The sequence below is a fragment of the Homo sapiens genome, chromosome 12 (assembly GCF_000001405.40).
Source record: "Homo sapiens chromosome 12, GRCh38.p14 Primary Assembly".
Taxonomy (NCBI): domain Eukaryota; kingdom Metazoa; phylum Chordata; class Mammalia; order Primates; family Hominidae; genus Homo; species Homo sapiens.
In genome coordinates this window covers 2,543,225-2,557,571 of record NC_000012.12, presented here as the reverse complement: position 1 = coordinate 2,557,571, position 14,347 = coordinate 2,543,225, and the positions used below count along the sequence as shown (strand labels likewise).

Here is a 14,347-nt window from a genome sequence, read left to right as displayed (position 1 = left end):
CTCCATGCAGGGGCCTCAGTGTGCACCAGGACAGGGAACATTTGGATAACTGCAAGAAGTTCCTTGTAGGGGGAACAAAGGTTATTTTCATGGAAGTGCAGGAAGTGAGGCTGGGAGGCAGATGGGGGCTGAGGACCCTGGATCCTTTTGTAGGTTCTGTCATTGTCAAGAGCAGTGACACAGACGGGTGTCATAATCCTACGTGCTTTCCATCATCATCAAAGGTTACATCTCACCATGTTCTATAAACATGAAGTAGGTCATGACAGTCACAAGGGCTCACTTTATGTTTCTTTTAACTGGACTTCATCTTAGAAGGGAGGAAAACACATTTGGTCTGACAACTTCCTAGGGACTGTGCTGCCAAAAAGATGGACAGTCCAAGATCATTCAACAAATATCAACCGCTGGATTATTTGTCTGATCTGAGCCATAAGCTTTTTCTTGATGGCCATACAGAAAGTAGTTACCCCCTTAGAAGAACAGCCCTTACACTACTGGCAACTTGTAGGTATTACCTTGGGCCACCCAACAGGGTGGCTGAAGACAGAGCTGGTGGCAGAAGGAAGGAAGAGCAGCGTGAGTCTCACTCACCTGAACTTTGACTTGGAGATCCGGTGGCTGAAAAAGAAAAAGGAAATGTTACCAAAGGATGGACACACACGTGCATTTAAAAGACGGTCAACAGTCCCAGGGAAATTTGATGTTCCCCAGGTAATTTCGTGTGGGTGCTGGAAGGAGGCATGGTGTGAACTAGAACATCTTGGGAGAGAAAGAACCCTATTTATGTATTTGAATGTGGAGACTGAGGTCTGGCCTGGCTAGCATCTTCTAAGTATAGACAATCCTTGCTGCAGAGGGAGAGTAGCAGGTCCTCAGGGTCTGCCTAGAAACTTCTATGAGGTCAGGTTAGGAAGAGCTGTATCTTGAGACAAGCTGCAGAGAAAGAAAAGGCCTCTCCTGATGACAAGAGGACCCCAACAGCAGAAAAATCACAGGCAAGAACAGGTCGGCACAGACCTCACAGCTGTCTGCCAGAGCCCAGCTAGAGTAGGGTTATGAAGGGAAGACCAGCAAAAGGAGCCAGCCAGAAATGGAGGGGCCACAACAGCCCCCACCCAAGAGCTGCAGAGGAGGCCTAAGGCGCCAGCCCCAGACTCCGAGGAGAAACCCAGGATGCTGACGGTCACACGCAGCCCTGAAGACCTGGGGACCTCTGGGCAGAAGCTCAGGGTGGGTGTGAGGGTGGCTGCCTGGAAGGGTCATGGAACAGGGAGGAGGTTCCATGGAAAGGCAGAACCTTCAAGGAAGTCCTGAGGCTCCCTAGGTCATGTAGGGAAGAGTCCAGGGGAGGCAGGAGGCTGGAGAAGAGGGCAGGAGGGACAGACTGTAAAAGAGAAGTGTGGAGGAGAGAAGGCTGAGCCAAAGAGAGAGAGACAGGGAGAGTGAGAGAATGTAAGCAGTTGAGACCATTAGAAGGCACCTGTCAGCTTGGCTTTGGTGCTAGGAGAAGGGCATGAACGCTGGGGATAGTGCAGGTGGTGACAATGTTCAGATGGAGAAGCAGAAGGACAGAACGCAAGTTAGAGATGAAGAAAGGGATGGAGACAGTGGTGGAGCAACAAGGAGAGGCATGGGGAGGAAACAGGAGAAGGGAGTCTGGGAGGCAACCGCCGCAGGCCTGCGACGTCCCAGCGCGGCACACAGCTAGCTGTGTCGCAGAGCAAGAAAACGCCAGCCCCTCTCGTTATTTCTTATTAAAAAAATTAAGCCAGAAGATGTGACAGGTGGCAAAGCCATCGTGCATGAGATAATTACATCTCTGGGGCACTGCGAGTCTGAGCCAAGCGCCTTTACTGCTCCGAACGGTTAGCTAATAACCTCATCCCACCCGCAAAGACTGCCTGTGAGGGCTGGAGGGCTTAATCACAGGTTAACAGCGTGTGGGAGGGGGACTGGGAGCCCAGGGCAGCATTGTTATTTACAGCCACAGTTTAACCAGCAAACAAATGTTTCCCAGCTGCTAATTGGGTGCTGGGGAGCCTAGGTGCTCTCTTCTCCAGCGGGGCCATGCTGAGCCCCAGACCTTCAGTGTCTTCCCAGGCTGCTTTTGGGTGGTTGTCTCCCCTTGCTGTTAACCATAAGCTCAAGTGGGTGACCATGGACTTCAGCCTTGTCACTCTGACTCCAAGCCTAGCCTGGTCCCAGGCCTTCTTTCAGAAACACCTCAGTAGTCCTGTCTGGGGTGCCCCTTGATGACGACCACCGGCCCTTTGCCATGAGGCGTTGTCTTGCTCACAGTGCAAGCGGGTCACAAGTGCAAGTGGGCTCTGAAAAGCTCCCCTCTGGGGAAACCTAATCCTGAGTGTTCGTCTCCAAGGGAAATGACCCTGGGAAGCAGGATTGGCGCTGGGGGTGCTGGGAAAGGAGGTCCTGCTTCAAGCACAGTCGTGGACTACAGGTCCTTCTGTGGCATCCGGGCACATTCTGAGCACGAAATGGACAGAGCCTTCTTGTCTGCTTTGTTACAGGTCTGGATGGATAAGCCTGGGCACCACACTTGAAGACTGATTTTGTTGCTATTGTTGCTATCCTCCGGGATTGTGAGCAGAATTTTAGGTTCATGGGGATCAAAACCTCATCCGCTTTTAAAGGCTGGCACTTTTGACAAGCAACCGCCAAATGGCTAAGTTCCATGTCAGGCAGGCTCCACTCCTTGCGAAGGGGAGGACACTGCTCAGCGGCTTTTGTCTGGAGGCCAGGGAAAACTCCATGCCCATGGGGAGCTGAGGTGAGAACTCTGTGACGTCTGAACGCCTTGGTTCTTTCTGCTCCCTTTGCACACCTTGGCGTTAATGATAGGACCTCTTTGCCTCCTGGGAGGTGGCCCAGGGTTCTGGGCTGGAAAGGTGCTCCTGCAGTGAGAGGACGCAAGCCAGGAGCCCGGGTGCCTCGGTGCCATCAGGAGCCCAGATGCCTTGGTGCCATGGTGCTGGTCCACACCCTAGGCCGGTTCACTGTGGCCAATGCCTCCCTGCTACCGATCTTCACAATCTCCAAAGAACTCTGAGAACAGCTGGGGGCTCTGGCTTCTCTATGCACAGCACACTCGGAAGGCTTCCTGGTTGTCTCCACTGTTGTTGTTCCAATGAGGCACAATTCCTACCTCAGGTTGAGCGGATTCTTGAAGAAGAGCGAGGAGGGAGAGAAGGCTGGTAAGGAACATGAGACCATCAGAACAGATCCACTGGGTAGGAACTGAAGTTCATGCAACCCCAGATACTTTCTCCACCCAGGACTCCAAGACAAACCTTCTGGGAGACCATGATTTTCCTTCGTGCTTTTCAGGTTCAGAATTAGAGACAAACCCCAAACTCCTTTTTTCCCCTAGTTACTCAGTTTGCATTTGTCATTATTTGAGACATATTTGAACTTCTTGAGAGCCATTTGTATTTTCAGCCTCTCCCCTCTTCTTAGAGGAAAGAGTGCCATATGTTTACTACCTGCTGTGTAAAATAGTATTTCCCTGAATTGTCCCAAATTCGCCTTTAATATAAGTCAGATGGCACTGCAGTCATCATCCACATTGACAATGCGTCTGACTCAGCATCCTTAACTCCAGGACGTCCTCTCCCCCACAGCTCTTATTATTGGGAGGGCCACATCCTGCCCTTGCACGGCATAGAATTGCTTCCACTCCTGGGTGCTGAGCTCAGATGCTCCATGACTCTGGCCAGAGCCTCCCTTTCTATGATCCCTCCTGCTCTTTCAGAGGACCCAACATTTGTCCTCACTGGATCCTCCCCATCACTCTCACCCTTTAACACCAGGCTTGACTACAGTCATGGCAATGTTGCCCGCGATACCACACAGACTCCACACCGCCTGGGCCTTCTGCCATGCCTGCATGGCTAAGCCCCACCCTGGGACACGCCGCTGTCTCTTTTTAGTGCTCTCAGGCTTCAGAGTCTGCCAAAAATACGGCTGACTGCACATTTATGATATCAGTCTCCACCGTGGCATCAGTGCTGCCCAGCAACCTTTGAGCATCCTCTCGACGACTCACTGGTTTCAGTCTCTATACTGCCCTTCAAGTTCCTGTGACCCCTGACCCTTGCTTTGGGAGATGAGATGGCTGAGCTCATTCGGAGTGACTCCTGTCACTGACCCCTTCATCAGAGCCTGTTTCTGATTCTGTATTCTTTACAGAACTGTAGGCTTTACAGAACTGGAAGGGACCCTTAGATACCACATGGACCTACGGTTTGCAGTTTCTCCAGGTGTAGAATGCTTTCTTCACATGAAATCTTGCACCGCTGCAGGTGGTTTCCGCCCCCCACCCCAGCCTCTGCAGAGATGTCAGTCTGACCCTTCTTTTTCCCAGAGGACGAGGCTGAGGCCCAGAGCGGAGTGCTTTGGCCAAGATCCCAGGGCTAGCTGGAGGTTGGTGGGCACTAGACTCTGGGACTCCTCTTCTTTCATTTTCCAATTAGTTTCAGGTGCACAGAAATTCCTCCTTCCTGAGCAAGTTCAGGGCCTCAAACTGTCTTTGCTGTCGCCCTTCTCCTCTTCAGAAGCAATGCCTTCCTATAAGCACTTGCTTCCCCTACAGCTTGTTTCACCTCTTCCTGCTCCGTGACTTCTTCCTTGTCTTGAAGTTTGCCCTTGCCTTTATTACAATGAAGGCCAGCGCTTCCCACACTCATGCTACTCCTCTTCACATGCTCCCATCTTCCTCCCTGTCCATGGCCTCACTGCCTGAGTGAGCACTCTGTCGTGGCCCATTTCCACCCCATCTCCCTCACTGAGACCGACTCCCAAGACCAGTGCCCTGCAACCCTGAGGGGTAGCACCCCAGAACACACACACAACACAGCCCTTCTTTCCCTCTGCAGCCTGAGCTGCTGCCACATTACCTCTCACCTGTGTCAGGCTCTTGCAGCTTCTCATTCCTCCCTGCTCTTTTCCTGACGTCGCAGTGATCCTTCAGGAGCTCAGAACTAACCAAATCAACCTCCCACTCAGCTCTGTTCTGAATGCCCTTCAGTGACTTCTCACACTCTTCTGATGCAGACCCAAACGGTTAAGGGTCTGCCAGTCCCTCAATAACTCATGTTCATCCTTCTGTTCTCAGCTGGAATTTTAATTCTGCAAAGAAGCCTTTCCTAACCTGCCAGTCCAAATTAGAAACCTTTGTTATTAGCCCGACTTTACACTTACTTTTCCTTCATAACACTTACCCCAATCCTATAGTTGCCTATTTATTTGCATAGTGTCTCTCCCACACTAGACTGTGAGCTCCAGCACGATGGTGTCAATTTCCTCCCTGTTGTGTGTCACCACCACCTAGCCTTAGCACCAAGCTGGGCAGACTGTTGAACGAATGCATGGATAAACAGCTCTGTCCTGAAATTCCTCCTCCCGCGGCTTCCAGGCTGGCGCTGCTGCCTGTTCTCTTAACATTCCTTTGTCTATTTTGCTTGCTTGGTCTTATTCTTCTGTGTGTCCATTTCCCAAGATTCAGCCCTTGGTCTTGTTTTCCACTTCACTCTGAACAACCCGTCCTATCACCTCATTGGTAGTTTTCATCCCAACAACCTCAAACATGTGTGTCCACCCTTGTTCAGGGCTGAGTTTCGGGCCTCCGTATCTCGTGGTCTCCATGACACCCGCAGGTCACTCCAACTGGGCTCCTGCTTCAGATTTCACTTCTGCCTCATTATCCTCTTCCCTGACTGTGACGGCTCCTTCCTCTTCATTACCTGCACCCGCCTGCCCCTGCTGCCATGAAGTAACATGCCGTAGTTCCTTCCTCCCTTCCCCCAACAGGAACCGTCTTCATCCAGGCCTCCTTACTACACAGCAGTCCTCATCGTGACCTAATCTCATTACATGAGACTTTTAACCCTTAGCTTTAAAGATCCCGGTCACTCACTTCCCCTCAGACCATCACACGCAATCTCAGTTCCCATGCTGCTTCTCCCGCCAGGAATGCTGGCAGTCTTGGCTCATCATTGTCTGGGGCGGGGTGGGAGGTAGGGAGATGGGGAAAGACCACATTTTATTCGGGGCATATTATAATTCTGGCACTGTGACTCAGCGTTCTGTATGCACAGAGTACGAATGTGGCTAAACATGGGGATAACGGGGACCATTTCTGCAGAGCTCTCCAGGCTGCAGAGCATGTGCTCTGAGCAAACGACAGATCCACTGGAGACTGCCAGGCTCCATCCGTGGGGGAATATCATGTTTCCTTCCTAACAGAGCCTCATGCTCTCCTGAAATGTACTATCAAGTGACTTCCTGGTGCCAGCTCCCTAGTCCCTCCTGGTATGCGACTTGGGCCTGCCCAACAGCCAGAGTTGCAGGGCCTTTGATCATCTCTCTAAGCCTCGTCTTGGTGGCAAGACAACAGAAAGGCCTAGAACTGACAGACTTTGAAGCCTTCCTATAGGCCTTTCCCTAGAGTTGCTGTTTGGGACCTACTTCCAGAAACTCAAGTGCTTGTTTTGTATGATTCCAAAAGAAGAGGTTTGCACTGCTGCTTAAAAATGTAATTAGCATCGTATTTTAACAACATTTTGACAATAATTGCTTCCCGACAATGCTGAGAAATCTGCAGTGCAGACTCCCTGGTGCCAGTGTCAGAGTGAGTGATACTGAAGCTCCACGCTCCCTGGAAACAGCGGCTGTGAGAGCTGCTCTGCCGTCAGCCTCATTCTCCCTCCCCAACATGGGCTCCCAGGCCACGCTCAAGGCCGGCATTGCTGTGTTTAGACTCTTCCACAGCTCAGCGTTGTGAAAGGGCTGCGCTTGCCCAGGCTCTCCATCATTCCACAGACGAGGAGGGAAGGGAGATGCCGCCCTGCCCCGCCCCCCAGGTGGAGCAATTCAGAAATGCATTGTACCTGGGACTGGTCTGACTCAGAGCCTCTGTTTGCAGTTCTTCCAGAGGCCAGGGTGAGTTTACAGTCGTGACACCCCAAGGCAACAGAACAGCAGGCTCCACTGCACTTCTGCTTCCCTTACTGGCAGGATGAGAGAGCTTCAGGTAAGGACCCACATGCCAGTCATCTCCCAGAACATCTTCTCACCTGGCTGCTTCTCTCCCAGGTCACATTTATCAGAATGGAAAGGGTGGCCAGCAGGACTCAGGGCCCTAACCTCGCTGTCTCTTTGAAGAGGGGCGAAAGGGACTGGAGTGAAAGAAACAGACTTTGGGGCCGCCCCCTACACACACACCCTCTATATTTCTCAGATGTGATGAAAAGAGGCTCAAAACCTAAGAGTCAGCACCCCCGAAGAAGTGATGAATTGAAGACTAGCCTTGATTTTAAGACTCACCCCCGGCCAGGGCCACCCTCACCCCAGGGCCCTCTGCTCCCCATCTTGGTTCCCACCTGAGGTTTGTTTCTTGCCACCGGCTCTAATCTCTGCCCTTCCTAGTGATGAGCCAGCCCACTGTGATTTCCAGATGCAGCTTTTCCACCCATGCTCCAGAAAAAGCCCCAGCCCCTGGGCTCGCCGTGCCTACTCACGCCAGCCTGGCCCCGCAGTTTTCTCCCTCGATGTCACCTCCAGCCACGTTTTCGGTGTTGACGGACTCGGTCTCACTGGTGGGCATGCTCACTGCAAGAGTCAAAGGGAAGCAGAGCCAGGCATTGAGGGTGGGGAGACAAGGGAACAGAAGAGCAGTAGTTTGCAACACGCCCACCGCAAGACCCAGTGCGGGTTGGCAGAAAGAGAGGCTGAGCACGCTGGCTGGCTGATCTGCACAGATCCCCTTGATGGACACATCTGCTGGTTGTCCAGGCAGGTTTTGCCGCCAAGAACACTGTAAACTAATGGAAGTATGGGAGGACATCTGGTAATAAGAGCATTTTACCTCATAGGACACATCCTGAAAAAACTGACCATTGAATCTCTCCTCTCCACTCTGTGGACTGGAAGAAGCTGTAGAGGCTTTCCATTTGCAACTACCACTTGCCACAGAAAGAGGAGCTTTCATGAAAATATATCATTTTCCTTACTTCATCCCACCCACCATCTCTAAGGGGCTCCATCTCCAAGAACAGGGACCAGCCTGTTTGTAGAAAGGGCGTGCTTGCTACCTTGATGAGCTGCTGGGTGGACAGAGGCCTTCCCTTTCCGGCAGTTGGTTACACCCAGGAGCACAACTGAGACAGAGGGCTTGAGGGGAATGGCCATCCCCAGAGCCATGCACTAAGATTCAAGCTAGCCCTGCAGACATAAGGAGTGAGGAGTGGAAGTGTGCAGTCCACACAATTATGTTTAATTGTGGTCAGAAGACAGCCTGTAGGGATACGATTTCCCCTTTCAGCCACCCTGACATTCCCATGTCAACAGGCTGACTTGGATATAAGCCGTTTAATTCAACTTGTCCAGCCTCCTCCCAAGGCAGCTGTGGGCTGAATTTCCAGAACAATGGGAGTTTTCTGGCTTAGAACCCAGTTTGGTGGCTTGAAAGAAGCCATTTCTTTTATTATTATTATTTTTTCTTCTAAATAAAAGTTTAACTCAAAGAATTTTTCTCCACCTTCCAACACTCTCTTACTATGATACAATGCGTTCCTTAGTTTTGTAACCCTTATTCTTTAGAGTGGCCATCATATCCTTGGTCCTGGTTCTGCTGTTCCTCCAGAATAGAACTCCTCATATGCTGAGAAAGTCATCAGCCCTCAGCAGACACAGAATCTGCTGTTAGTTGAGGGAGTGGCCTCTGGTGACAAGTCCCTGCGAGGCTGCCAGAGCCCAAGAAACACTTTTACTGGTTGCATGGATAATGTTGATAGATGTGGATTTTTCCTGGTTTCCTTTCCTTCAGATGAAGACAAGCCAGGTTGGTGAGAAGAGAATCATTTCAAGAACATGGAAGATACAAACAGAAAGTCCACGACTTACCGTATGTTTGACTGTTGTGTATGAGAGACCTCTCTGACCTTTTTAATAAAATTGAATTAAAAAAAATCCAGATGTCATTTTATAGAACTCTAGGGCTGGGTGAGGCTTTAGAAATTATCTGGCTCTAACTCGTCCTCCTCACTCCGCAGGAGAGGAAAGTGAGGCCAGAGAAGGGATGTGATGCCCATGGTCATATGGTGTGTTCAAGTAGGGCTGGGTCCAGGGCACAAGTGTCACACCTCCTGTAGCATGTTCATCTTGAGCGCCCCAGTCTCGACCACCTCTGTACTCTACACCCTAGGCAGACAAGCTTCTTAAAGCCTACTAGGCTCTGGGAGCACCACAGGAGGGCAGTGAGTAGCCAAACAGGGGCACTGAATTCCACAGCATTACACTCACTTTATAGTCTGAAGTCTGGAGGGGCTGGTGAGACCAGCCCTTAGGGATGGTTTTAGCTCAGACCTTCAGAGCTTGCCAGGGGCTTTGCTCAAACCACACTAAGGAAGCCATAAAATGGAAGCACTCTCAGTCTTCCAACCCATCTATCTCCAGCCATCTCAGCCCAAAGGTTTTTTTTATTTTTTATTTTTAGTTTTTAGCTCTCTACCCTCCAGACATCCTTGTTTGAAGGGCTAGGCCACGTAGAAAAAGTTCTGTGACTTTGTGACACTTCGTTCCCAGAGCCTTATGTGTGAGTACAGTGCTGTGGAGGTGGTGGTGCTAGGCCTGGAAAGACAGACAAAATCGGAGGGGCAGGCCTGGGCACTGGAAATAACGACAGCACCTTCTAAATCAAGGCACTGCCTGTGCTGGTTCCAACCGTGCATTCACAGTGTGCTTACTCTAGGCCAGCACTGCCCAGAGGAAGAGCTCCTGGAGGAATAGCTCTGCCTGTTTGTCACACCCACTGACTTTACACATATGAAGCAATGATAAGGCAGTGGCTTTGAGGGGGACAGGTTGCCATCCCTTCACAAACACACACACACACACAACATATATACATACACATATATGCACACACACAGAACTACTGCGGCACAAGCCATCAAGAGAGACACCTTCCCATTCAGTCTGGTATGCACCCACACGCATTTACACACACAGAGCACAGGGGAACATTACCATGGGTTTCTGTGGAGTGACTAAACCAAGCAAACTTCCCTTTCTTCTGATCAAGCATGCCCGCCGGAGTGCCTCCTTTCACAGACAAGATGGTCAGTGTCAAGAACCAGGAACAAGACATCAATAGAGCACACGCAGTCAGCCACGGGCAAGAGAAAGAAACAAGGAACTCAGCTTTCACATAGAACATCCATTTTTATCACAGAAAATAAACAAAAAAAATTCAATAAATCAAAACATACAGGAAAACATAACACAATAGAACCAAACTCCCAACTCACATGAATTAACATCACAAAACAAATGATGGACCCTGGAGAGAAGGAATTACTCCAGGAGAGAGAGGCTATCTGGCATATCTAATGAGTGACTTTGAGAAGGCTTCCAAGGAGGGGGCTGCCACTCATCCCTGTTGTTTCCATAGGGAGCTGTCGCCCTTTGCAGGCTCAAGCGGGGTCACTGCTAAAGTCTAACTGTAGCCCTGGTATCCCCTTCATCCCTACCCAATAGCCAGGTGACTTGTCTCCTCCCTCACATGGGACCACAATGCAAAACTTTCACCTGTAGTGGATTCAAGGGCTTCCTTGCTATTTGCACCTGGATGGAGTCACCTGCAGGTAGAAAAACAACCCACTGGTCGACCTACTTGCTCCTTGTTCAGTTCAATAATTCAATTCTATTCAGCAAAGACCCATCAAAGGCCTAGGGCTCACATCCAAAACATATATGTGTCTGCTTTTAATCAGTTTAAATGGGCCAATAAGTTGTTAAATTGCCTGTCAATGGGTGGTCATTTGAGGAAGTTTGTAAATAAGGAAGAAGAATTCTGTGAGCTCTGCTGGGTCTCGGCTACAGCTGAAGAGGAGAGTGCTCCAGAAGAGTGTGAAGACACTACCCACTGCATGGGAGGGCGTGAAGACACCAGCCACTGCACGGGAGAGCACGAAGACACCTGCCACTGCATGGAAGAATGTGAAGACCCCAGCTACTGCACGGAAGAGTGTGAAGACACCAGCCACTGCACAGAAAAGTGTGAAGACATCAGCTACTGCAGGGAATAGTGTGAAGACACCAGCAACTGCACAGAATAGTGTGAAGACATCAGCTACTGCAGGGAATAGTGTGAAGACACCAGCAACTGCACAGGAGAGTGTGAAGACACCAGCTACTGCACGGAATAGTGTGAAGACACCAGCTACTGCAGGGAATAGTGTGAAGACACCAGCTACTACACAGAATAGTGTGAAGACACCAGCTACTGCACAGAATAGTATGAAGACACCAGCAACTGCACAGAATAGTGTGAAGACACCAGCAACTGCACAGGAGTGTGTGAAGACACCAGCCACTGCATGGAAGAGTGTGAAGACACCAGCCACTGCACGGAAGAGTGTGAAGACACAAGCCACTGCATGGGAGAGCAGGAAGACACCAGCCACTGCACAGAAGAGTGTGAAGATACCAGCTACTGCACGGAAGAGTGTGAAGACACCAGCCACTGCACGGGAGAATGTGAAGATTCCAGCTACTACATGGAAGCATGTGAAGACACCAGCCACTGCACTGGAGAGCATGAAGACACTAATCATTGCATGGGGAACGGGAAGTTATGTATGGACTTGGAGTTCTGGATGTCAAGTGCTTTAGCTAACTGTTCAGATAGAGTTTTCCCATTTCATCTGAAAGAACTGGCATGAGCTGTGCCTCTGCGAGGTCACTATGCAGGGTGCTGGGAATGAGAGGCAAGTAAGGCACAATCACAAGTTAGGTTGGTGCAAAAGGAATTGTGTTTTTTGCATTGTTGGAATTTGCCATTTGGTATTGAAATACATTCTTAAATAAATTTGGTTATGTTATACATCATTTTAATGGGCATTTCTCACTTTATTTTTTTGTTAATGATGTATTACTTGCTATTTATTTTATGTTTATTTTAGACTATGGAAAGGATGTTAAAGAGCAAATTCGAGCGATTTGGGTCATAAAGCAGTGGAGACAACTTGCAACATCAACAGCTCATTTGGCCCAGGAATTGCTAACGAACGTACGGCACAGTGGTGGTTCAAAAGGTTTTGCAAAGAAGATGAGGAGCATAATGAAGAAGATGAGGAGCATAATGGCAGGCCATGGGAAGTTGACGATGACCAATTGAGAGCCACCATCAAAGCCGATCCTCTTACAACTACAAGAGAATTTGCCGAATAACTCAATGTCAACCATTCTATGGTTGTTAGGCATTTGAAGCTTATTGGAAAGGTGAAAAAGCTTGATAAGTGGGTGCCTCATGAGCTGAGCAAAAAAAAAAAAAAAAATCATTGTTTTGAAGTGTCACCTTCTCTTATTGTACTCAACAACAATGAACTATTTCTCAATCAAATTGTGATGTGTGAGGAAAAGTGGATTTTGTGTAACAACCAGCAACGACCAGCTCAGGGGTTGGATGGAGAAGAAGCTCCAAAGCACTTCCCAAAGCCAAACTTACACCAAAAAAGGTCATGATCACTGTTTAGTGGTCTGTTAGTATGATTCACTACAGCTTTCTGAATCCCAGCGAAACCATTACATCTAAGAAGTATGCTCAGCAAATCAATGAGATGCACCAAAAACTGCAATGCCTGCAGCTGGCATTGGCCAACAGAAAGGGCTCAATTCTTTTCCACAACAATGCAGGACTGCATGTCGCACAACCAATGCTTCAAAAGTTGAACGAATTGGGCTACAAAGTTTTGCCTCATCTGCCCATATTCACCCGACCTCTCGCCAACCAACTACCACTTCTTCAAGCATCTCGACTTTTTGCAGGGAAAATGCTTTCACAACCAGCAGGATGCAGAAAATGCTTTCCGAGAGTTTGCTGAATCTGGAAGCACGGAGTTTTACATAATAGGAATAAAAATCTTATTTCTTGTTGGCAAAAATGTGTTGATTGTAATGGTTCCTCTTTTGATTAATAAAGATGTGTTTGAGCCTAGTTATAATGATTTAAAATTCACAGTCTGAAACCACAATTTCTTTTGCACCAACCTAATATTAATGAGTGGCAGCAAATGCAGGTGGGAAGTTGGTCACCACTCACAGAAGGAAACATGTGCCCTGCTGAACTTGTGGGCTGCACCATCACTTCCAGGAAAGGCATGAGGGGAGGGGCAACCCAAATCTTAGGTTTTTCTATATTTCATCCTCTTATCCTAGAACACAGATTATAGTCAATGGACTTCCTTGGATGTTGCCTGGTAAGGAGAATTTTGGAGACTGGCTAGTGATAGAAAAGGGCCATGCCTATTTTTAACCTGAAGATCTGTGTCTCACACACTCATCTTTAAGGTACAAAGTGTGGAACAGAAACTTCATAACCGGCAGGTTTTTTTTTTTTTTTCACTTCTCAGAAATCCTACATGCAAAAAGCACTGAGAGTTAGGAGCTGAAATGAGCCACTTGGTTCAAGTTTCCCTTCTAGGGAAAGGTGTCTCAAACAGTCACTAACATGGGACTCTCATAATGAATGGTCTTTCTTTCTGGAGATATAGGGGGTGGACGTAGGCTGCCAGTCACCAAGTTTCTATCTGTGTGGTGGCTGTCTGAGGGGATGAGAGCCCTGCTTAGTGGTGGAGAGTCCAGAACATTGACGCCTTCCATGCAGAAGCATTATTCAGCTTTTGGCTCTGACATCCTAAGTGTCCTATGTTGTCCAATTTCAGAAGTAACTGTATGATCATTTTATGAACCTGAATTTGACCAGGGCTGGTCTTTCATGGGGGCCAAGTTGGCAGTCACCTGCATGGAAAATGATCTGAAGAGCAACTAAATCATCTCCCTGGATGGTTCACATAAGTCTCAGATCTTTCTTTTGGGGCACTGCATATATCTAAAGGTTCCTTTCTGAAATAAAAATGTCTCACCTGGAAGAAGCAATATATGAACACATTAGTGCCTATTAATTTGCGATAGTTTATCCCATAAGCACCTGCAGGAATCAAATGGTGAAATGGTGTTTGTGTTCCTATTACCAAGGGATTACATAGTGGTATCAAAGCTGATTCCTCAAGGAAAACTTCTAGGAAGCTGAATGTCCAAATTGTTGAAAGTTTAGAATCATGAATGCTGGATACTTATTCAGTGGATGAGATGGAAAGCCTGACCCCTCCCTTGGCCATTCAAATGATGAGTTGGTTGGAAACTAAGGGGCACCTTTTCTCTAAAGCCAACTTGCTTCACTTCCTTAGAAGTGAAGTTTGATTGTCTGCTCATCTGCAGGCAATGTCATAATAGCACATCCTTTATAAGGCACAATATGCTTTAT

The 14,347-nt window shown here is 48.7% G+C and overlaps 1 protein-coding gene across 56 annotated transcripts in view, besides 2 other annotated features; it reads right to left on the bottom strand.

The window, feature by feature from the left end:
- The window catches only part of CACNA1C (calcium voltage-gated channel subunit alpha1 C), a 727,171-nt gene that overhangs the window by 140,379 nt on the left and 572,445 nt on the right, over positions 1-14,347 (bottom strand). For 38 of the 56 annotated variants that reach the window (XM_017019946.3, XM_017019943.3, XM_017019932.3 and 35 more), the window contains 2 exons: positions 7,539-7,629; positions 595-621 (listed from right to left, as the gene is read on the bottom strand). In XM_017019946.3, the coding sequence (XP_016875435.1) occupies positions 595-621; positions 7,539-7,629 (118 nt within the window). Of the gene's footprint in view, positions 1-594; positions 622-6,908; positions 7,029-7,538; positions 7,630-10,047; positions 10,123-14,347 lie in introns of all 56 variants that reach the window. The other 18 variants (XM_017019926.3, XM_017019927.3, XM_017019928.3 and 15 more) reach the window with 2 other exon arrangements.
- Positions 1,702-2,202: an enhancer, noted in NCBI's record as "H3K4me1 hESC enhancer chr12:2664536-2665036 (GRCh37/hg19 assembly coordinates)". NCBI's record gives its function as "activates a minimal SCP1, AML or CMV promoter by ChIP-STARR-seq in primed H9 embryonic stem cells {active_cell/tissue: H9 hESC(primed)}" and the evidence as "EXISTENCE:reporter gene assay evidence [ECO:0000049][PMID:30033119]".
- Positions 5,490-6,689: an enhancer, noted in NCBI's record as "BRD4-independent group 4 enhancer chr12:2660049-2661248 (GRCh37/hg19 assembly coordinates)". NCBI's record gives its function as "activates an origin of replication core promoter dependent on BRD2, P300/CBP, MED14 and CDK7 cofactors, and independent of BRD4, by STARR-seq in HCT116 cells {active_cell/tissue: HCT116}" and the evidence as "EXISTENCE:reporter gene assay evidence [ECO:0000049][PMID:35650434]".